The 22,748-nt window shown below is 37.9% G+C and overlaps 1 protein-coding gene across 46 annotated transcripts in view; it reads right to left on the bottom strand.

Moving 5' to 3' along the window:
- RPS6KC1 (ribosomal protein S6 kinase C1) overlaps positions 1 to 22,748 on the bottom strand; it is an 811,495-nt gene that overhangs the window by 642,451 nt on the left and 146,296 nt on the right. For 3 of the 46 annotated variants that reach the window (NM_001349660.2, NM_001349662.2, NM_001349661.2), the window contains one exon: positions 14,896 to 15,046. The exons of 42 other annotated variants lie outside the window; for them this stretch is intronic. The gene's annotated coding sequence lies outside the window, so the exon portion shown is untranslated. Of the gene's footprint in view, positions 1 to 14,895; positions 15,047 to 21,626; positions 21,707 to 22,748 lie in introns of all 46 variants that reach the window. One more of the 46 variants, NM_001349659.2, reaches the window with a different exon arrangement.

Here is a 22,748-nt window from a genome sequence, read left to right as displayed (position 1 = left end):
TTTTAGATTCTACAATGCTTCCACAGAGAATTAGTTATAAACTAATTTAAAGATAGGGCATTATTAAACATTAATGTACCATAAAAATTGTTGTAATAAAGGACATTTATCTTACCCTACATTTAAACCTGATTAATACAAACATAACCTGTTGAATGTAAATATCAATATTTCTACAATACAATACTGTATTGTGTGTGTATATATCCCATCTGAATTCAATTCATACCTATAAATATTTAGTACTTTGGGTAAATATGATGGGTTTTTTTAAATTATTATACTTAAAGTTTTAGGGTACATGTGCACAACGTGCAGGTTTGTTACATATGTATACATGTGCCATGTTGGGGTGCTGCATCCATTAACTCGTCATTTAACATTAGGTATATCTCCTAATGCTATACCTCCCCCCTCCCCCCACCCCACAACAGGCCCCGGTGTGTGATGTTCCCCTTCCTGTGTCCATGTGTTCTCATTGTTCAATTCGACCTATGAATGAGAACATGTAGTGTTTGGTTTTTGTCGTTGCAATAGTTTGCTGAGAATGATGGTTTCCAGCTTCATCCATGTCCCTACAAAGGACATGAACTCATCCTTTTATATGGCTGCATAGTACTCCATGGTGTATATGTGCCACATTTTCTTAATCCAGTCTATTGTTGTTGGACATTTGGGTTGGTTCTAAGTCTTTGCTATTGTGAGTAGTGCTGCAATAAACATACGTGTGCATGTGTCTTTATAGCAGCATGTGTTATAATCCTTTGGGTATATACCCGGTAATGGAATGGCTGGATCAAATGGTATTTCTAGTTCTAGATCCCTGAGGAATCGCCACACTGACTTCCACAATGGTTGAACCAGTTTATAGTCCCACCAACAGTGTACAAGTCTTCCTATTTCTCCATATCCTTTCCAGCACCTGTTGTTTCCTGACTTTTTAATGATCGCCATTGTAACTGGTGTGAGATGGTATCTCACTGTGGTTTTGATTTGCATTTCTCTGATGGCCAGTGATGATGAGCATTTTTTCATGTGTCTGTTGGCTGCATAAATGTCTTCTTTTGAAAAGTGTCTGTTCATATCCTTCACCCACTTGTTGATGGGGTTACATTTTTCTTGTAAATTTGTTGGAGTTCATTGTAGATTCTGGATATTAGCCCTTTGTCAGATAAGTAGATTGCAGAAATTTTCTCCCATTCTGTAGGTTGGCTGTTCACTCTGATGGTAGTTTCTTTTGCTGTGCAGAAGCTCTTTAGTTTAATTAGATACCATTTGTCAATTCTGGCTTTTGTTGCCATTGCTTTTGGTGTTTTAGACATGAAGTCCTATGTCTATGTCCTGAATGGTATTGCCTAGGTTTTCTTCTAGGGCTTTTACAGTTTTAGGTCTAACATTTAAGTCTTCAATCCAAATTTAATTTTTTTATAAGGTGTAAGGAAGGGATCCAGTTTCAGCTTTCTACATATGGCTAGCCAGTTTTCCCAGCACCATTTATTAAATAGGGAATCCTTTCCCCGTTGCTTGTTTTTCTCAGGTTTGTCAAAGATCAGATAGTTGTAGATATGCGGCGTTATTTCTGAGGGCTCTGTTCTGTTCCATTGGTCTATATCTCTGTTTTGGTACCAGTACCATGCTGTTTTGGTTATTGTAGCCTTGTAGTATAGTTTGAAGTCAGGTAGTGTGATGCCTCCAGCTTTGTTCTTTTGGCTTAGGATTGACTTGGCAATGTGGGCTCTTTTTTGGTTCCATATGAACTTTAAAGTAGTTTTTTCCAATTCTGTGAAGAAAGTCATTGGTAGCTTGATGAGGATGGCATTGAATCTATAAATTACCTTGGGCAGTATGGCCATTTTCACAATATTGATTCTTCCTACCCATGAGCATGGAATGTTCTTCCATTTGTTTGTATCCTCTTTTATTTCATTGAGCAGTGGTTTGTAGTTCTCCTTGAAGAGGTCCTTCACGTCCCTTGTAAGTTGGATTCCTAGGTATTTTAATCTCTTTGAAGCAATTGTGAATGGGAGTTCACTCATGATTTGGCTCTCCGTCTGTTATTGGTGTATAAGAATGCTTGTGATTTTTGCACATTGATTTTGTATCCTGAGACTTTGCTGAAGTTGCTTATCAGTTTAAGGAGATTTTGGGCTGAGACAATGGGGTTTTCTAGATATATAATCATGTCATCTGCAAACAGGGACAATTTGACTTCCTCTTTTCCTAATTGAATACCCTTTATTGCCTTCTCCTGCCTGATTGCCTTGGCCAGAACTATTCAACAATACGTTCAATAGGAGTGGTGAGAGAGGGTATCCCTGTCTTGTGCCAGTTTTCAAAGGGAATGCTTCCAGGTTTTGCCCATTCAGTATGATATTGGCTGTGGGTTTGTCATAGACAGCTCTTATTATTTTGAGATACATCCCATCAATACCTAATTTATTGAGAGTTTTTAGCATGAAGGGTTGTTGAATTTTGTCAAAGGCCTTTTCTGCATCTATTGAGGTAATCATGTGGTTTTTGTCATTGGTTCTGTTTATATGCTGGATTATGTTTATTGATTTGCATATGTTGAACCAGCCTTGCATCCCAGGGATGAAGCCCACTTGATCATGGTGGATAAGCTTTCTGATGTGCTGCTGGATTCAGTTTGCCAGTATTTTATTGAGGATTTTTGCATCGATGTTCATCAGGGTTATTGGTCTAAAATTCTCTTTTGTTGTTGTGTCTCTGTCAGGCTTTGGTATCAGGATGACGCTGGCCTCATAAAATGAGTTAGGGAGGATTCCCTCTTTTTCTATTGATTGGAATAGTTTCAGAAGGAATAGTACCAGCTCATCTTTGTACCTCTGGTAGAATTCGGCTGTGAATCCATCTGGTCCTGGACTTTTTTTGGTTGGTAAGCTATTAATTATGGCCTCAATTTCAGAGCCTGTTATTGGTCTATTCAGAGTTTCAACTTCTTCCTGGTTTAGTCTTGGGAGGGTGTATGTGTCAAGGAATTTATCCATTTCTTCTAGATTTTCTAGTTTATTTGAGTAGAGGTGTTTATAGTATTCTCTGATGGTAGTTTGTATTTCTGTGGGATCGGTAGTGATATCCCCTTTATCATTTTTTATTGTGTCTATTTGATTCTTCTCTCTTTTCTTCTGTATTAGTCTTGCTAGCTGTCTATCAATTTTGTTGATCTTTTCAAAAAGCCAGCTCCTGGATTCATTGATGTTTTGAAGGGTTTTTTGTGTCTCTATCTCCTTCAGCTCTGCTCTGATCTTAGTTATTTCTTGCCTTCTGCTAGCTTTTGAATGTGTTTGCTCTTGCTTCTCTAGTTCTTTTAATTGTGATGTTAGGGTGTCAATTTTAGATCTTTCCTGCTTTCTCTTGTGGGCATTTAGTGCTATAAATTTCCCTCTACACACTGCTTTAAATGTGTCCCAGAGATTCTGGTATGTTATGTCTTTGTTCTCGTTGGTTTGAAAGAACATCTTTATTTCTGCCTTCATTTCGTTATGTACCCAGTAGTCATTCAGGAGCAGGTTGTTCAGTTTCCATGTAGTTGAGTGGTTTTGAGTGAGTTTCTTAATCCTGAGTTCTAGCTTGATTGCACTGTGGTCTGAGAGACAGTTTGTTATAATTTCTGTTCTTTTACATTTGCTGAGGAGAGCTTTACTTCCAAGTATGTGGTCAATTTTGTAATAGGTGTGGTGTGGTGCTGAAAAAAATGTATATTCTGTTGATTTGGGGTGGAGAGTTCTGTAGATGTCTATTAGGTCCACTTGGTGCAGAGCTGAGTTCAATTCCTGGGTATCCTTGTTAACTTTCTGTCTTGTTGATCTGTCTAATGTTGACAGTGCGGTGTTAAAGTCTCCCATTATTATTGTGTGGGAGTCTAAGTCTCTTTGTAGGTCTCGAAGGACTTGCTTTATGAATCTGGGTGCTCCTGTATTGGGTGCATATATATTTAAGATAGTTAGCTCTTGTTGAATTGATCCCTTTACCATTATGTAATGGCCTTGTCTCTTTTGATCTTTGTTGGTTAAAAGTCTGTTTTATCAGAGACTAGGATTGCAACACCTGCCTTTTTTTGTTTTCCATTTGCTTGGTAGATCTTCCTCCTTCCCTTTATTTTGAGCCTATGTGTGTCTCTGCATGTGAGATGGGTTTCCTGAATACAGCACACTGATGGGTCTTGACTCTTTATCCAATTTGCCAGTCTGTATCTTTTAATTGAGCATTTAGCCCATTTACATTTAAGGTTAATATTGTCATGTGTGAATTTGATCCTGTCATTATGATGTTAGCTGGTTATTTTGCTCGTTAGTTGATGCAGTTTCTTCCTAGCCTCAATGGTCTTCACAATTTGGCATGTTTTTGCAGTGGCTGGTACTGGTTGTTCCTTTCCATGTTTAGTGCTTCCTTCAGGAGCTCTTTTAGGGCAGGCCTGGTGGTGACAAAATCTCTCAGCATTTGCTTGTCTTTAAAGTATTTTATTTCTCCTTCACTTATGAAGCTTAGTTTGGCTGGATATGAAATTCTGGGTTAAAAATTCTTTTCTTTAAGAATGTTGAATATTGGCCTCCACTCTATTCTGGCTTGTAGAATTTCTGCCGAGAGATCAGCTGCTAGTCTGGTGGGCTTCCCTTCATGGGTAACCCGACCTTTCTCTCTGGCTGCCCTTAACATTTTTTCCTCCATGTCAAGTTTGGTGAATCTGACAATTATGTGTCTTGGAGTTGCTCTTCTCGAGGAGTATCTTTGTGGCATTCTCTGTATTTTCTGAATTTGAATGTTGGCCTGCCTTGCTAGATTGGGGAAGTTCTCCTGGATAATATTCTGCAGAGTGTTTTCCAACTTGGTTCCATTCTCCCCGTCACTTTCAGGTACACCAATCAGACGTACATTTGGTCTTTTCCCATAGTCCCACATTTCTTGGAGGCTTTGTTCGTTTCTTTTTATTCTTTTTTCTCTAAACTTCTCTTCTCACTTCATTTCATTCATTTGATCTTCCATCACTGATACCCTTTCTTCCAGTTGATCGCATCGGCTACTGAAGCTTGTGCATTCGTCATGAAGTTCTCGTGCCATGGTTTTCAGCTCCATCAGGTCCTTTAAACACTTCTCTGCATTGGTTATTCCAGTTAGCCATTCGTCTAATCTTTTTTCAGGGTTTTTAACGTCTTCGCCATGGGTTCAAACTTCCTCTTTTAGCTCAGAGTAGTTTGATAGTCTGAAGCCTTCTTCTCTCAACTTGTCAAAGTCATTCTCTGTCCAGCTTTGTTCCGTTGCTGGTGAGGAGCTGTGTTCCTTTGGAGGAGGACAGGCGCTCTGATTTTTAGAATTTTCAGTTTTTTATGTTCTGTTTTTTCCCCATCTTTGTGGTTTTATCTACCTTTGGTCTGTGATGATGGTGATGTACAGATGGGGTTTTGGTGTCGACGTCCTTTCTGTTTGTTAGTTTTCATTCTAACAGTCAGGACCCTCAGCTGCAGGTCCGTTTGGAGTTTGCCGGAGGTCCACTCCAGACCCTGTTTGCCTGGGTATCGGCAGTGGAGGCTGCAGAACAGCGAATATTGCTAAACAGCCAATGTTGCTGCCTGATTGTTCTTCTGGAAGTTTTGTCTCAGAGGAGTACCCGGCCATGTGAGGTGTCAGTCTGCCCCTACTGGGGGGTGCCTCCCAGTTAGGCTACTCGGGGGTCAGGGACCCACTTGAGGAGGCAGTCTGTCCATTCTCAGATCTCAAGGTCCATGCTGGGAGAACCACTACTCTCTTCAAAGCTGTCAGACAGGGACATTTAAGTCTGCAGAGGTTTCTGCTGCCTTTTGTTCGGCTATGCCCTGCCCCGAGAGGTGGAGTCTACAGAGGCAGGCAGGCCTCCTTGAGCTGCGCTGGGCTCCACCCATTTCGAGCTTCCCAGCTGCTTTGTTTACCTACTCAAGCCTCAGCAAGGGCGGGCACCCCTTCCCCAGCCTCGCTGCCGCCTTGCAGTTTGATCTCAGACTGCTGTGCTAGCAATGAGCGAAGCTCCGTGTACGTAGGACCCTTCAAGCCAGGCGCGGGATATAATCTTCTGGTGTGCCGTTTGCTAAGACCGTTGGAAAAGCGCAGTATTAGGGTGGGAATGACCCAATTTTCCAGGTGCCATCTGTCATCTCTTTCCTTGGCTATGAAAGGGAATTCCCTGACCCCTTGCGCTTCCCAGGTGAGGCGATGCCTCGCCCTGCTTCGGCTCATGCTCGGTGCGCTGCACCCACTGTCCTGCACCCACTGTCCGACAATCCCCAGTGAGATGAACCCAGTACCTCAGTTGGAAATGCAGAAATCATTCGTCTTCCGCGTCGCTCATGCTGGGAGCTGTAGACTGGAGCTGTTCCTATTCGGCCATCTTGGAACTGCCCCAGTATGATGGTTTTTTAAAAATCATAGTTTGTCATTGTGATAATAGCTGAAAACAGAGCAAATGCTACCAGAGTTAAGTTTATCTTCCAAGATATGAGTAGATTATGAATAATATTAGAAAAAGAAAATAAGCATATTTTGATAGTACTAAAACAGATTTACAAATAAAATTTACTCAAAATTCAAAAGCGTCATTCCTACATTGTTTCATTCCTCCAAGGGCCAGTGAAATATGATTGGCAATGTTTTTCTTTGACAGACTAATATTAGGATCATTAAAGATAAAGAAAAATTTTAAATGATTGTCTAGTGGTTATCAACGAACTGATTCTAAACTTTATGTAGAAATGCAAAAGACCCAGAATAGCTAACACAATACTGAAGAACAAAGCTGGAGGACTGATACTACCTGACTCCAAGGCTTCCTATAAAGCCACAGTAATCAAGACAGTGTGGTATTGGCTAAAGAATAGACAAACCAATCAATGCAACAGAACAGAGAGCCCAGAAGGAGACCCACATAAATATACTCAACTCGCTTTTGACAGAAGAGCAAAGGGAATACAATGGAGCAAAGAGCCCTTTCAAAAATGGTGCTAGACAGCCACATGCAAAAATGTGAATCTAGAACAGACCTTACACCCTTAACAAAAATTAACAAAATGGATCATAGACCTAAATGTAAAATATAAAATTATTAAAATCCTGGAAGATAACACAGGAGAAAACCTAGATAACTCTGAATATGGTGATGACTTTTCTGAGATAATATCAAAGGCAGAACCCACTCGTATGAAAGAAACAATTGATAAGATAGACTTTGTTAAAATTAAAAACTTATGCTCCATGAAAAACAATGTCAAGAGAATGAGAAAACAAGCCACTGCCAGAGAGAAAATATTTATAAATGATACATCTGATAATGGACCATTAGCCAAAACATACAAAGAACTCTTAATAATTTTAAAAACCTGATTAAAAAATGGGCCAAAGACTAACAGACACCTCACCAAACAAGATATACAGATGGCAAATAAGCATATAAAAAGATACTCAACATTGCATGTCATCAGGAAAGTGCAAATTGAAACAAGATATCACTACATACCTACTAGAATTGCCAAAATCCCGAACACTGACACCTCCAAATGCTGGCAAAGATATAAAGCAACAGAAACTTTCATTCATTGCTACTGGAAATGCAAAATAACACATCCACTTTGGAAGACAGTTTGGCAGTTTCTTACAAAACTAAACATACTCTCACCATAAATGAACCAGCAATTACATTCCTTGGTGTCTACTCAAAGGAGCTGAAAATGCATGTCCACAAAAACCCCTGCACATGGATGTTTATAGAAACTTCATTCATAATTGCCAAAACTTGGAAGCAACCAAAACATCCTTCAATAGGTGAATGGGTAAACTGGGGTCATCCAGATAACAGAATACCATTGAGCATTAAAAATAAATGAGCTGTCAAGCCATGAAAAGCATGAAGAAACCTTAAATGCATATTACTAAGTGAAGAAAGCCAATCTGAAAAGGCTACATACTGATTCCATACTGATTCCAACTATATGACATTCTGGAAAAGGCAAAACTGTGGAGATAGAAAAAAAAAAGATCAGTGGTTACCACATGTTGGCAGGGAATGAACAGGCAGAGCACAGAGATTTTTAGGGTAGTGAAAATACTCTGTATGATATTATAATGCTGGATACATGGTCATTATACATTTGTCCAAACCCACAGAATGTACAACACCAAGAATGATCTTAATATAAACTATGAACTGTAAGTCATTATGATGCGTCAATGAAAGGTCATCAATTGTAATAAATGTACCACTCTGGTGGGGGTTGTTGACAATAGGGGAGGCTATGCAAGGGTGGGGTCAAGGGGGCACATGGAAAAACTCTGTCTCTCTCTCAATTTTGCTGTCACCCTAAAACTGCCCTCAAAAAACAGTCTTAAAAAACAAAATGCTTCTCTACTTCCCATCTAAAAATCACTTGGCCAGATCCTTGGATTACACATCTTTACACAAATAACTAAAACAAGTCCTGCACTAAAGTGATGCAAAATCCAGGTCATTCTCCAATAAATAAACTACAAACACAAATTTAAAATCTCTCATATTCATATGAGCCAAATGTCAATGAACATAAGCCATTCCTCAATGATGTCTCATACTAAAATGTGAAGTTAACGATTTAGTGAACAATAAACCTATCAAAGAAATATCTTTTATATGTATGTAAAAAGAATTTTACTTTGTATAATTTTTCAAATTCTAGGCCAATACATCTATTACTTTATAAAACCTGCTTCCAAAGGACAATGGTGTGTCTTTGTAAGGAAAATGGATATAAATATAGCAGAAGGCAGAATATAAAAGACAGAGAAATTGGGTTTAAAACAGAATTGCTAAAGAGCTAGAAGAAACAACCACTTAGGAGGCTCTTCTCAGATCCAAATGCTTTAAAAGCTAGATCTCTCCACACCTTTGTCATTCTCATTTTGATTGTCTGTTTTCTGTTTTTGTGAAGAATCTGCCCAAGGCCATAAACGGATTATGCTAAAGAGAGGTTAAAACTCTAAAGTTCTGGTTTTATAGGCCCAAGTTCGGCTCATGCCATTCAATCCCATAATGAATACATGTATTCTATTTTTCTAGTTTGAATTCTGAAGTTCACCTGGGATGATAACTTGACACTGTTAAATTTAGATGAAAATTAATTCAATTAAAAGTATAGTCTATTGTATTTAGCTTTAGTTCCTTATTTGCATTTGCTAGAAAAACCAAATACTCTGATGCTGATGTAAACTATTTCACTGTCCATTCATACCCTAGTTTAATATTTTCTGTCCGCTGCTAGATGTGCTCTATAAATACACTTAAAATAAGTCCCTAAAAAGCACCAAATACATCCACATAGTTCTCGTTTATAGAATCAGGGCAGTATGTAGTCAGACAGTTAATAAATGTTCTCTCATAATGATAACAGACACAGAAGCAACATTCTTAAGTCGATCAATACATATCCAACTAAGTTGCCAATGTCAAAGGTAGCCTGATTCCAATTCAGAAGAAAATGCCTCAAGGGCAAGGAAGCTTTAAATGTTATTATTTTTAAATGTGTTCAGTGAGTTTGTACTTTTGTAGCAGATGGAGCCAAACTTCTGGTATTGATTAAAATTTAACATTATTTTTAAATGACCTAGAAAATTTATTGAGTATAAGAACACAATGTGTTCATGTTCTGAAAAATTCCAAAATGTTTTAAAGCACATATGAAACACAAAGGCACAATACTCATTCTCAAATTGACAAGTTCATCGACTGCAACAAAGTATTCTGTCAACAGTCTACAGGTACACTCTGTGAGAAAAGGTGGAAACAGGAGAAGCAGGAATGTTTGGACGGTTTTCAGTTTGTAATATCCTCTTGCTCTGATGCTTCAAGTGTAATATATTTTGAGGCACAGATTTACAGATTATTTGAAATGTTAAGACACAATTTTGTCTCTTTTTGTTACCTTCAAACTTACTCAACAAGTATACTTGGTCAAGTACACTTCAGAAATCTGAAGGCTTATTGGAAAAGGCACAGAAATAACATCAAAAACTACTGTATAATATAGATAAATATTATTGTCAGAGGTGTTCAAACCAGAGCAACTCCACCTTGAACAGGGGTTGGGTAAAATGAGGCTGACTCCTGCTGGGCTGCATTCTCAGGAGGTCAGGCATTCTTAGTCACAGATGAGATAGGAGGTTGGTACAACATACAGGTCACAGAACCCCCACTAATAAAACATGATGCAGTAAAGAGGCCAACCAAAACCCACCAAAACCAATATAATGACAAAAGTCAACTCTGGTCGTCCTCACCGCTCACTGCACACTAATTATAATGCATTAGCATGCTAAAAGACACTCCCACCATGACAGTTTACAAATGCCATGGCAATGCCTGTAGGTTGTCCTATATAGTCTAAAAAGAGTAGGAACATTCAGTTCTGGGAAATTCACACCCCTTTCCCAAAAAACTCACGAATAGCCTACCCCTTGTTCAGTTTCTATAATCAAGAAATAACCGTTAAGTATCCTCAGTCAAGCAGCCCATGCTCCTACTCTGCCTACAGAGTGGCATTCTTCTATTCCTTTTTTTTTTTTTTTTTTTTTTTTTTGAGACGGAGTTTTGCTCTTGTTGCCCAGACAGGAGTGCAGTGGCATGATCTCGGCTCATTGCAACCTCCACCTCCCAGGTTCAAGCCATTCTCCTGCTTCAGCCTGCCAAGTAGCTGGGATTACAGGCATGGGCCACCACACCAAGCTAATTTTGTATTTTTAGTAGAAATGGAGTTTCACCATGTTGGCCAGGCTGGTCTTGAACTCCTGACCTCAGGTGATCCACCCACCTCAGAATACCAAAGAGCTGGGATTACAGGCATGAGCCACCACACCTGGCCTCCTTTACATTCTTAATAAACTTGCTTTCACTTTAATCTGTGGACTCACCAGGAATTCTTTCTTGCGTGAAATCCAGGAATCCTCTCTTGGGGTTTGGATCAATATCCCTTTCTGGTAACACTATCAAAGATAAGTTTGAGGTGGTAAAGGAATACAGGTAAAAGATATTTAAATCAGACAGTAGATGAAAGTGAGCGGGGCTACTGAGAGAAAACAACAATTAAGAATAAGAAATTGTGGAAGAAAAGGAAAAGAAGGCACTCCAGGTAGAGGGGTACATCACATGTGAAATGTGATGCGTTTGTATCCCTCCAAGTTCAACGGGCTGTAGCCAACATAGTATGTTGTGGTGTGGTCTTAGTTCATCCAGAAGGGGAAGAACCAAGTTGAACCAATAGAGAAAGGAAGGACTAGATCACAAAGAACTTTATAGGCTTAGCTTGAAGTTCAAACTTTACCCTTAAAACTGTGAAAAGGTTTTAGATTTTAAGTATATCCTGAAATTATCTCCTAAAAACAGGAGGACATGGAAAAAGTATATATACTCTATGCCACTGCACAGCCAGCAAGATAGCCACCCTTTTCTACACAAGCAGAAGACTAAAGGTTCAACCTCTGAAGATGTGGAATGAGACAGATACTACAAACAGCTAAAGGTGGGACTGAAGAGTGGTACTGAAAACAGAGGCATTATGTGAAAACCTGTACACCAAATGGTGAGGACATCATTCCTGCTTCCACCACTGGGCTCCCACAATGATGCTGGTCTTAAACTAACTCCCTGAGCAGATTATGAGGTTCTTCTCTAAGAAAACCAATTGGCCCAAGAGATAAAACATGCAGATACTGATATTTGTTTGATCTCCCAACAAAACATCTAGATTGTTACCCAAATGGAAAAAAGATAAGCAAAGACACAGCTCAAAAAATGAGAAAGATTTCCACACCACAACATCACTGTGAAATTATAGAACACCAGGGACAAAAAGAAAATCCTACAGGCCTCCAAAGAGAAAGGCAAAGGAGGAGAAAAACAAGTCACATACAAAGAATCAGGAATTGAAAAGTAATACAGAAGACTGGTGAAGAGATTCCCAGAATAACAAAAAGTGGAAGTATAAAGAGGAGAGCTAGGTAGTATGCCAAGAGAGGAAACCAATGCAAACTTGAGCAGAATAATGAAAGAATCCAGAAGAGAAGCTTCTGAGGAAACCACATATCTGATGGATTATTTGAGGTGTTTGTACTTGAGAGATATTTTAAAATTCCATCAGAGGGTTGGGAGACAGAGATAGATACATATAAGAATACGCAAATGGGGGAAAAAGTAACATACAAGAGCAAAGAAAATTTTAATTCCTCCCCCTTCTGAAGGTTTGATAATTTGTGTCTATAAAACAAACTGACAATAGACAGATTAGCAGAAGAAAAGGTATTCAAGACCGGGTACGGTGGCTCATGACTGTAATCCCAGCACTTTGGGAGGCTGAGGCAGGCAGATCACTTGACGTATGGCGTTCAAGACCAGCCTGGCCAACATGGTGAAACCCTGTCTCTACTAAAAATATAAAAATTAGCCAGCATGGAGGTGGACACCTGTAATCCCAGCTACTTGGGAGCCTGAGGCAGGAGAATCACTTGAACTCAGGAGGCAGAGGTTGCAGTGAGCTGAGATCGCGCCACTGCACTCCAGCCTGGGCAACAGAGTGACACAGTGTCTCAAAACAAACAAACAAAAAAAAAGGTATATAAATTTATAAACACGCACATGTGCAGGGGAGCCACACAAAATATGAGACTCTAAGAAGGGACAAATGACTGAAGTTTTTATACCATACAGAAAATACAGAAAAGAGTCAGGGGCTTGGAGCTCCAGAGTGGGGGAAGATAGCTTACAGGTTGTGGAAGGGTGAGGGGAGGAAATGCAAGCTGAACAAAAGCTATTTTGTATTACAAATGAAATCTCTCAGGTAGCAGCCCTCAGAAAGAATAGATGGTAGCCTGTTGAAAAAGTTTCTCTGTCACACCTTTAACAGTGTCAGACCTTCAGTCTCTTTTCCTGAGTTAGTTTTTTCCTAAATCCAAATAAGGCAGATAAGGGATTCTCAAAGAAAGTCCATTTCTGTCTGCTGTTTACTTTCCTAGTGTGGATTTCTACCAGGGATGCAAATCTCCCCCACAAATGGACAGCTTTTCAGAGCTATTCCTCTTTCTGTAGCTTTTCTGAATAGCCATCTCAAAATATGCCAAAGCAGTGTATTTTGGGGTGGCATATTTATTCCACAGAAGCTATATATATATACATATAGTGAGTCTCACTCTGATGCCCAGGCTGGATTGCAGTGTTGTGACCTCAGCTCACTGCAACCTCCGCCTCCCAGAGTTGTGATTCTCCTACCTCAGCCTGCCGAGTAGCTGGGATTACAGGCGCACAGCAGCATGCCCGGCTAATTTTTGTATTTTCGGTAGAGACAGGGTTTCACCATGCTGGCCACGCTGGTCTCAAACTCCTGACCTCGTGATCCGCCCACCTTGGCCTCCCAAAGTGCTGGGGTTACAGGTGTGAGCCACCACACCTGGCCCTAGAAGCACTATATGAACCCCAAGAGAAAAAATTTTGTACAAGGAAGATCCAAAAATATTTAACAAATTGTAATTTAGGCCAATTTTAAGCAAGATAAAAGAAATTAACATACAAACAATACCAATCAGAAATATAACTTAACTATCTTGAAATAACTGAAAGATGATCACTGGAGAAGGGCGGTATTTAGACCTAAAGAAGCAGTATTTGGCTCAAGAGAAAAAAGGACTTTCTAAGACTTTGAACTGTGTAAAATGAAATGACTTTGTGACATTAAGTGGCTCTGTCTTTTTTCATGCTTTTTTATGGCCTCTTCTGTGCTGCTTTACAACTTATGTATTTACTTATATCTTTCCAACTAGACTAAAAAGAAGAACCATGTCTGATATACTGTAATATGTCCAGCACCTAACACAGTGCCTGCCCCAGGGCAGCATTCAAAAGGTATTTGTTAAATTGATAAATAAAAGGCCCTGAAGCTGAAGAGCCATTTAATGGGGCACTGTAGATAGACCACAAGATCTGTAATGCACTGGGTCAGATAACCTTAAAGCCCTTTCTAATCCTAAGATTATAAAACCCAAGCCCTAGGAGGTAAAAGGAAACTAGTCCTTTTATTTCAAAATTACTTAAAGGTTGTCCTATTATAAAAGTGTCCATACAATGCTATCTCTAAAAATGTTAGGAAACCGTGCTTTAAATACTAAGGGAATTTGAGCTCTTTGGAATAAAAACACCCACAAATCCAAATATAGTATTCAAATGCAAGTACAGAATGCACTGTATATACAAGTTGAGCATCTCAAATCTAAAAATCCAAAATCCAAAATGTTCTAAAATCTAAAACTTTTTGAGCACCAACATGATGTTCAAAGGAAATGCTCATCGGAGCATTTCAGATTTGGGATTTTTGGATTTGGGATGCTCAACTGGTAAATATAATGCAAATATTCCAAAATAAAGAGAAAACACACCAAAATCTGAAACACTTCTGGTCCCAAGCATTTCGAATAAGAGATATTTAACTTGTATACTCTTAACTTTAAATAATATATACATTTAACTGATAGGGATACAGAATAAAATATCAAAGCATTGAATTGAAGAAAAATAACTATAATTTATGTCAAAAATATATGGTTGCATCTTATTTTCAAAATAAGTATATTAGATGAAGTCCTTAAGATGATATCATTAATTATAATCAAATACTATGCTGATTCTATATATAAAACCTATGGGACTGCTACATTCTTTTGAAATATATATATATATATATATCTATATATATAAATGAGTTTGTTGTTATTAACATTATCTGCATAATCTGGTGGTATAAGTAACTATTCCTTAGGTTCTTGGTCGTTCTTAAAGCTTTGATTAAGAGGGCTACTTCCCACCATCCACATCATAGTGACTCAAACTGCTTCATGCATTACCTTATCACTTTCTTCACATCACAATGACTGATGTTCCATGGGACTCTTAAAAGCATGACTTATCTTTATCTAGCTTGCTGTCCTTCCAGAATCCCAATATGTAACAATTGTCTTCAGCAGAACATCTCAAGTGTCTCACCATGGCTGTGTACTAATGAATCAGTAGAGTAGATTAAAAAGTAGAAAGTACATTGTGATAGCAACTTTCTTTTGGTGATACTCAAACAGACAGGTAAAAATTTAATGGATTAAGCAAGGTATACAACACAATTCTACTTAGAGCATGGATCCAAAGAGATGTATCTGATACTATAACATACCATAAGCAGCCTGGGAGTAGTACAATGCTCACAATGCCCAAAAATACTTTGGCCACTAATCAAAATGAGATGTATTCATGTGCTAAATGCTAGGGTACTTTTAAAACAACCAAACTGATTTAAGTCCATTATAAAAAGTGAGGCCAGGCATTGTGGTTTATGCTTGTAATCCCAGCACTTTGGGAAGCCAAGTGGAAGAATCTCCTTGAGCCCAGGAGACTGAGACTACCCTGGACAACAAAGCGAGATGCCATCTCTACAAAAAATAAAATTAAAAAATTAGCCAGGCATGCTGGCATACACCTGTGGTCCTGGCTACACAGGAGGCTGAAGTAGAAGGATTCCTTGAGCCCAAGACGTCGGGACTGCAGTAAGCCGTAATCATACCACTACACTCCAGCCTGGGTGACAGAGTGATATCCTGCCTCAAAAAAAAAAAAAAAAAAAAAGTGACAATTAAATTAGAAATTGTTTAATGGCAAATTATTTAAAAATGTTTTCCTTACAGCACGTGCAGATTTAGGCTGCTATAAGTGAGAGTTTAGAGGTATTTATATTGTCTATTCCAGCATACTCTAATACTAAAATGAGATTTTTCAGGAATACCAACATGGAAAACAAACTTTATTGTACTACAAATAAAGGATACAAAAAGTTATCTTTCTGGTTATTAAAAAGAAACTAATTAATAGCATCAAAGGCAAACCATAAAGGAAAATCATAAAAAGATAAAAGAAATTGACATTATACATATACTTGGATGTATGATGGGAAAGTGTGCAAATAGGAAGGTGTCTAACTCTCCAATCGAGTATTAAAATTCAACAAAAGTCAATTCAACACATATTTACTGAATGCCTGCTATGTACACACAGATATCAGACATAAAGAAAAACCATGAACACAGCAGATAGGGTCTGTGCTCTACAAGAGCTGAAAGTTTAGCATGGAGGAGAGGCAATTAAAAACAGTTTAAGAAGTACTATGCTGAAGAATTACAGGTGCAACTGGAACAAAGAAGAGGGGTGTCTAATTCAGACATGGACCATCAGGAAACTTCTGGAGGACTGGAAAATGGCGGAAGAATAGGAGCTTCCAGCAGACACACATTCATTCTCAAACTTATTTGAGACCATGCTCTCAGAAATACTTCCGGGATGGGAAAGGTAGAAAAGGACATCCCGCTAATTAACAGGTAAAAGCTACCAAGTCTTTATAATTTATATGTTAATGTCATTATGACCTTATGTGAAAACACAGGCTAATGGGGCCCTTAACAGTGTATATATGTGCAGAAAGAAGACAGCAGGAGTATAAATCAAAATGTAAAAATAATTCTCAGTAGGTAGCAGGGTTATAGGTGAATTATACCTTTTTTTAGCTTATTGTTTGATTTTTCTATAATGAACATGTAAGAAACAGAAAATTTTTGTCTTGAAGGAAAATACCCCTGTATATTCAAGACAAAAGTTTACATATTCTTATAAAAAGAGCTTCTGAAAATTCAGTAAGAACATATAAACCTCTAATAAAAAAATTTAGGAAAAGGACTTAAAACAGGCATTTCATAAAAGAAGAAACACAGTCAATAAAAAATTTTAAAAATATATCCTATTAACAATTAAAATTGCACATTAAAATGACAGTGAAATCCAAATTTTCATCAGCAAATGGCAGATGTTGTCAGTAAGGATACGAGGAAGTAAACCTTCTCACATACAGGTTGAGCATCCCAAATCTGAAAATGCAAAATCCAAAATGCTCCAAAATCGGAAACTTTTTGAGAACTGACATGACACTCAAAGGAAATGCTCATTGTAGCATTTCAAATTTCAAATTTTTGGATTTGGAATTCTCAACCAGTAAATATATATAATACAAATATCCCCAAGTCTGAAAAACTTCAAAATCTGAAACACCTCTGGTCCCAAGCATCTCAGATAAAGGAAACTCAATCTGTACTACTAGTAGGAGTTTAAAACACTGTAATATTTCTGGAGAGTTTAAAATGTGCATATATACTGTTTGACCCATAATCTCCAACTCTGAAAAAATATACTAAAGAAAACATAAGATGACTGACCTCTAAGAATATTCATCACAGGCAGAAAAAAAGAGGAAAACAACCTAAAGAGAACGAATTAAATAAACCACAGTACATAGTAGAAAACTATGAGACCATTAAAGAGCATTTAGAATAGCGTAATAATGTTATATGTTTCCCATTTTTAATTTTTTAATCAATAAATACAATCATAATTAAAATATTTTTGTCTTTTAAAATGGTTTGAAAGCATCGAGGTATTTATAAAACACACAATGATGGTGTCTAGTAAGGATAAAATAAGACCCTAACTCAGCCATTCAATTAACCCTATTTGTCACTGTAGGGGGTTTTGACTGATGTCTTTTTTGGTTTGTTTTTTGTTTTTGTTTGTTGGTTTGTTTTTTGTTTTTGAGACTGAGTCTCACTCTATCGCCCAGGTTTGAGTGCAGTGGGGCGATCTTGGCTCACTACAGCCTCCACCTCCTGAGTTCAAGTGATTCTCCTGCCTCAGACTCCCAAGTAGCTGGGATTACAGGCACCCGCCACCACACCTGGCTAATTTCTGGATATTTAGTAGAGACAGGGTTGCACTATGTTGGCCAGGATGGTCTTGAACTCCTGATCTCAAAAGTGATCCACCTGCCTCAGTCTCCCAAAGTGCTGGGATTACAGGAATGAGCCACCACGCCCAGCTGCTGTAGTTTTTTTAAATGCTATTATTCATATTGTAAATTCATTAATTAGGGCACACTGATTTTTTAAAGGAAGTTTAATGAATAATGATACTGTAATACAGTAAGTTGAGAAGGAATATAAATGTTATAATAATCAAAGAAATTCAGTTCTGAATAATGATAAAGAGCTATAGTTTTGGAAAGAGACCTGAGTTTAAACCCTTGATCTGTAACTTAGTGTGTTTATACAAAACACTTAAGCTCTCTGGCTTCAGGTTTTTTATCTGCAAACTGTCTGAGAGCATTAAATAATTTATGTAGAGAGCTTAGAATTCTGCATGGTGTACACATAATATGTAATCCTAAGACTTTGACCCCAAGCAAACTAAAAACCACCTAGAAACACAGTGGTCTGTCCCACATCTGGAATAGCTAGCCAGCTGTCTGGGACACTCAGCTCAAAATTTCTCCTGTATCTCTTAAAATTTTAACATCAACTATAGTATCACAATTTTAGATGAAGGCACACTATTGAAGGTACCACATGCCTTTCACCAAACATGGCAGTGACTGTATTGATTTTTCTCCTTTTAAACAGACTTCATTTTTTAGAACAATTTTAGATTCATACAAATGGTGAGCAGAAAATAAAAAGTTCCTTTGGCCTCAAACACACACAACCTCCGCAACTAAGAACATTCTGTACCAGAGTGGCACATGTGTTGCAACTGATGAACCTACACCAATGACTCATTATCATCTGGAGTACACAGTTTCTATTAGGGTTCTATCTTGCTGTAGTATGTTCTATAGATTTGGACAATCCACCATTCTAGTATACAGAATAGTTACACTGCCCTAAAAATCCTCTGCACTCCACCACTCATCCCTACCTCCTGCCCAATATCTGGTAACCACTAACCTTTTTACTGTCTCCATGGGTTTGCCTTTTCCAGAAGTCATACAATTGGAATTATATAATATAAAGCTTCTTCATGTTGTCATCTTTCAATTAGTAATATGCATTTAAGGTTTCTCCATGTCTTAAGGCTTGATAGGTATTTCTTTTTTACCAGTGAGTAACATTCCATTGTCTAAATGTACCACAGTTGATTTACCCATTCACCTAGTGAAGAACAACTTGGTTGTTTCCACATTTTGGCAATTATGAATAAAGTGGCTATAAACATCCTTGTGCAGGATACTGTATGAACATAAGTTTGTTTTTTTAAAGTTCAGGGGTACATGTGCAGGTTTGTTACATAGGCAAACTTGTGTCAAGGGGGTCTGTTGTACAGATTATTTCATCACTCAGGTATTAAGCCTAGTGCCCATTAGTTATTTTTCCTGAACCTATTCTTCCTCCCACCCGCCACCCTCTGACAGGCCCCAGTGTCTGTAGTTCCTCTCTATGTGTCTGAGTGTTCTCATCATTTAGCTCCCACTTGTAAGTAGGAACATGCGGTATGTGGTCTCCTGTTCCTGCATAAGATTGTTGGCTGCATGTATGTCTTCTTTTAAAAAGTGTCTGTTCATGTCCTTTGCCCACTTTTCAATGGGGCTGTTTTTTTCTTCTTGTAAATTTAAGTTCCTTATAGATGCTGGATATTAGACCTTCGTTGGATGCATAGTTTCCAAAATTTTCTCCCATTCTGTTTGTTGATAGTTTCTTTTGCTGTGCAGTTTAAAGTTTGCTCTTTAGTTTAAATAGATCCCATTTGTCAATTTTTGTTTTTTGCCATTGCTTTTGGCATCTTTGACATAAAATCATTGCCAGTGCCTATGTCCTTAATGGTATTACCTAGGTTGTCTTCAAGGGTTTTTATAGTTTTGTATTTTACATTTTAGTCTTTAATTCATCTTGAGTTAATTTTTGAAAATGGTGTAAGGAAGGAGTCTAGTTTCTGTCTTCTGCATGTGGCTAGCCAGTTATCCCAGCACCATTTACTGAATAGGGAATCCTTTCCCCATTGCTTGTTTTTGTCAGGTCTGTCAAAGATCAGATAGTTGTGGGTATGCAGTCTTATTTCTGGGTTCTCTATTCTGTTCCATTGGTCTATGTATCTGTTTTTATGCCAGTATCATGCTGTTTTGGTTACTGTAGCCTTGTAGTATACTTTGAAGTCATGTAGCATGATGCCTACAGCTTTGTTCTTTTTGCTTAGGATTACCTTAGCTATTCAGGTTCCTTTTTGGTTCCATATGAATTTTAAAATAGTTTTTTCTAGTTCTGTGAAGAATCTCAATGGTAGTTTAATAGAAATAGCATTATCTATAAACTGCTTTGGGCAGTATGGCCATTTTAACAATATTGATTCTTCCTATCCATGAGCATGGAATGTTTTCCCATTTGTTTGCATCACCTCTGATTTATTTGAGCAATGGCTTACAGTTCTCCTTGTAGAGATCTTTCACCTCCCTAGTTAGCTTTATCCCTAGGTATTTTATTCTTTTTGTGGGAATTATGAATGGGATTACATTCTGGATTTGGCTCGTGGCTTGACTGTTGTTGGTGTATAGGAATGCTAGTGATTTTTGCACATTGATTTTGTATCCTGCAACTTTGCTGAAGTTGTTTATTGGCTTAAGAAGCTTTTGGGCTGAGACTATGGGGTTTTCTAGATATAGCACTGTGCAAACAGGGATAATTTGACTCCCTTCCTATTTGAATGCCCTTTATTTCTTTCTCTTGCCTGATTACCCTGGCCAAGACTTCCAATACTATGTTGAATAAGAGTGGCAAGGGAGGGCATCCTTGTCTTGTGCCAGTTTTCAAGGGAAATGCTTCCAGCTATTGCCCATTCAGGACGAGGTTGGCTGTGAGTTTGTCATGGATGGCTCGTATTATTTTGAGGTATTTCCTTCAATACCTAGTTTATTGAGAGTTTTTAGCCTGAGGAAATGTTGAATTTTATCAAAAGCATTTTCTGCATGTATTGAGATAACCATGTGGTTTTTGTCCTTTAGTTCTGTTTATGTGATGAATCAATCATGTTTATTCATTTGCATATGTTGAACCAACCTTATATCCCAGGGATAAAGCCTACTTGATCGTGGTGGATAAGCTTTTTAATGTGGTGCTGGATTCAATTTGCCAGTATTTTGTTGAGGAATTTGCCTTGATATTCATCAAAAATAATGGCCTGAAGTTTTCCTTTTTTGTTGTATCTCTGCCAGGTTTTGGTATAAGGGTGATACTGACCTCATAAAATGAGTTACAAAAGAGTCCCTCCTCCTCAATTTTGTGGAATAGTTTCAGTGGGAATGATACCAGCTCTTCTTTGTACATCTGTAGAATTTAGCTGTGAATCCATCTGGTCCTGGGCTTTTTTTGATGGGGAGGTGTGGTAGGCTATTTATTACAGCCTCAATTTCAGGACCTGTTACTGGTCTGTTCATGGATTCAACTTCTTCCTGGTTCAGTCTTGGGTGGATGTATGTTGAGGGGACTGAAGTTTTAATTTTATTTGGGTAAATTTAAAAACTGGTAATAGAATAATGCTGGCCTCATATAATGAGTTAGAAGTATTCCCTCTACTTCTGTCTTCTAGAAGAGATTGCAGATAACTGATATAATTTATTCTGTAAACATTTGGTAAAATTCAACAGTAAAACCATCTGGTCCTGGTGCTTTCTATTTTGGAAGGTTATTAATTATTGATTCAGTTTCTTGAAAATATACATACTTACTCAGTAGTCTATTCTTCCCATTTGAGTTTTGACATTTTGTATCTTTTCTTCCTTCCTCCCTCCTACTCTCTCTGGCATTCCTGAGGAAGAAGAGAAATCTAAAAGTTTGGAAAACTTATTTTAGGGAATAATCCAGGAAAACTTCCCCAGGCTTGCCAGAGATCTAGACATCTAAACACAAGAAGCTCAAAGAACACCTGGGAAATTGGTTGCAAAAGATCATCACCTAAGGCACATAGTCATCAGGTTATCTAAAGTCAAGACAAAGGAAACAATATTAAGAGCTGTGAGGCAAAAGCATCAAGTAACCTATAAAAGAAAACCTATTTAGATTAAAAGCAGATAGTTCAGCAGAAATTCTATTAGCCAGAAGGAAATGGGGTTCTATCTTTAGCATTGTTGAACAAAATAATTATCAGCCAAGAATTCTGTATCCAGCAAAACTAAGCTTCATAAATGAAGGAGAGATAAAGTATTTTTCAGACAAAGAAATGCTGAGAGAACATGCCACTACCAAGCCAGCACTACAAGAAATGCTAAAAGTTCTAAATCTTAAAACAAAACATCGAAATACACCAAAATACAACCTTCTTAAAGCATACATCTCACAGGGCCTATAAAACCGTAACACAATGAAAAAAAAGGCCATGGTTTTCAGGCAACAACTAGCATCAGGAATAGAACAATACCTCATATCTCAATACTAACATCGACTGTAAATGGCCTAAATGCTCCATGTGAAAGATACAGAATGGCAGAATGAATAAAAATCCACCAAGTATCTGTTGTCTTCAAGAGACTCACCTAACACATACGGACGCACATAAATTTAAGGAAAAGGGATGGAAAAAGGTATTCCCTGCAAATGAAAGCCGAAAGTAAGCAGGAGTAACTACTTATATAGCAGACAAAACAGACAGATCATATACCTAGAAAACCCTAAAGACTCATCCAAAAAGTTCTTAGATCTGATAAATGAATTCAATAAAGTTTCAGGATATAAAATCAATGTACACAAACCAGCAGCACTTATACACCAACAGTGACCAAGCTGAGAATCAAATCAAGAACACAACACCTTTTGCAACGACTACAAAAAATACATACATACATACATACATA

This window comes from Homo sapiens, chromosome 1, assembly GCF_000001405.40.
Source record: "Homo sapiens chromosome 1, GRCh38.p14 Primary Assembly".
NCBI lineage: Eukaryota > Metazoa > Chordata > Mammalia > Primates > Hominidae > Homo > Homo sapiens.
Note: the sequence above shows the minus strand (reverse complement) of the source record. Positions and strands in the feature narration are given on the sequence as shown.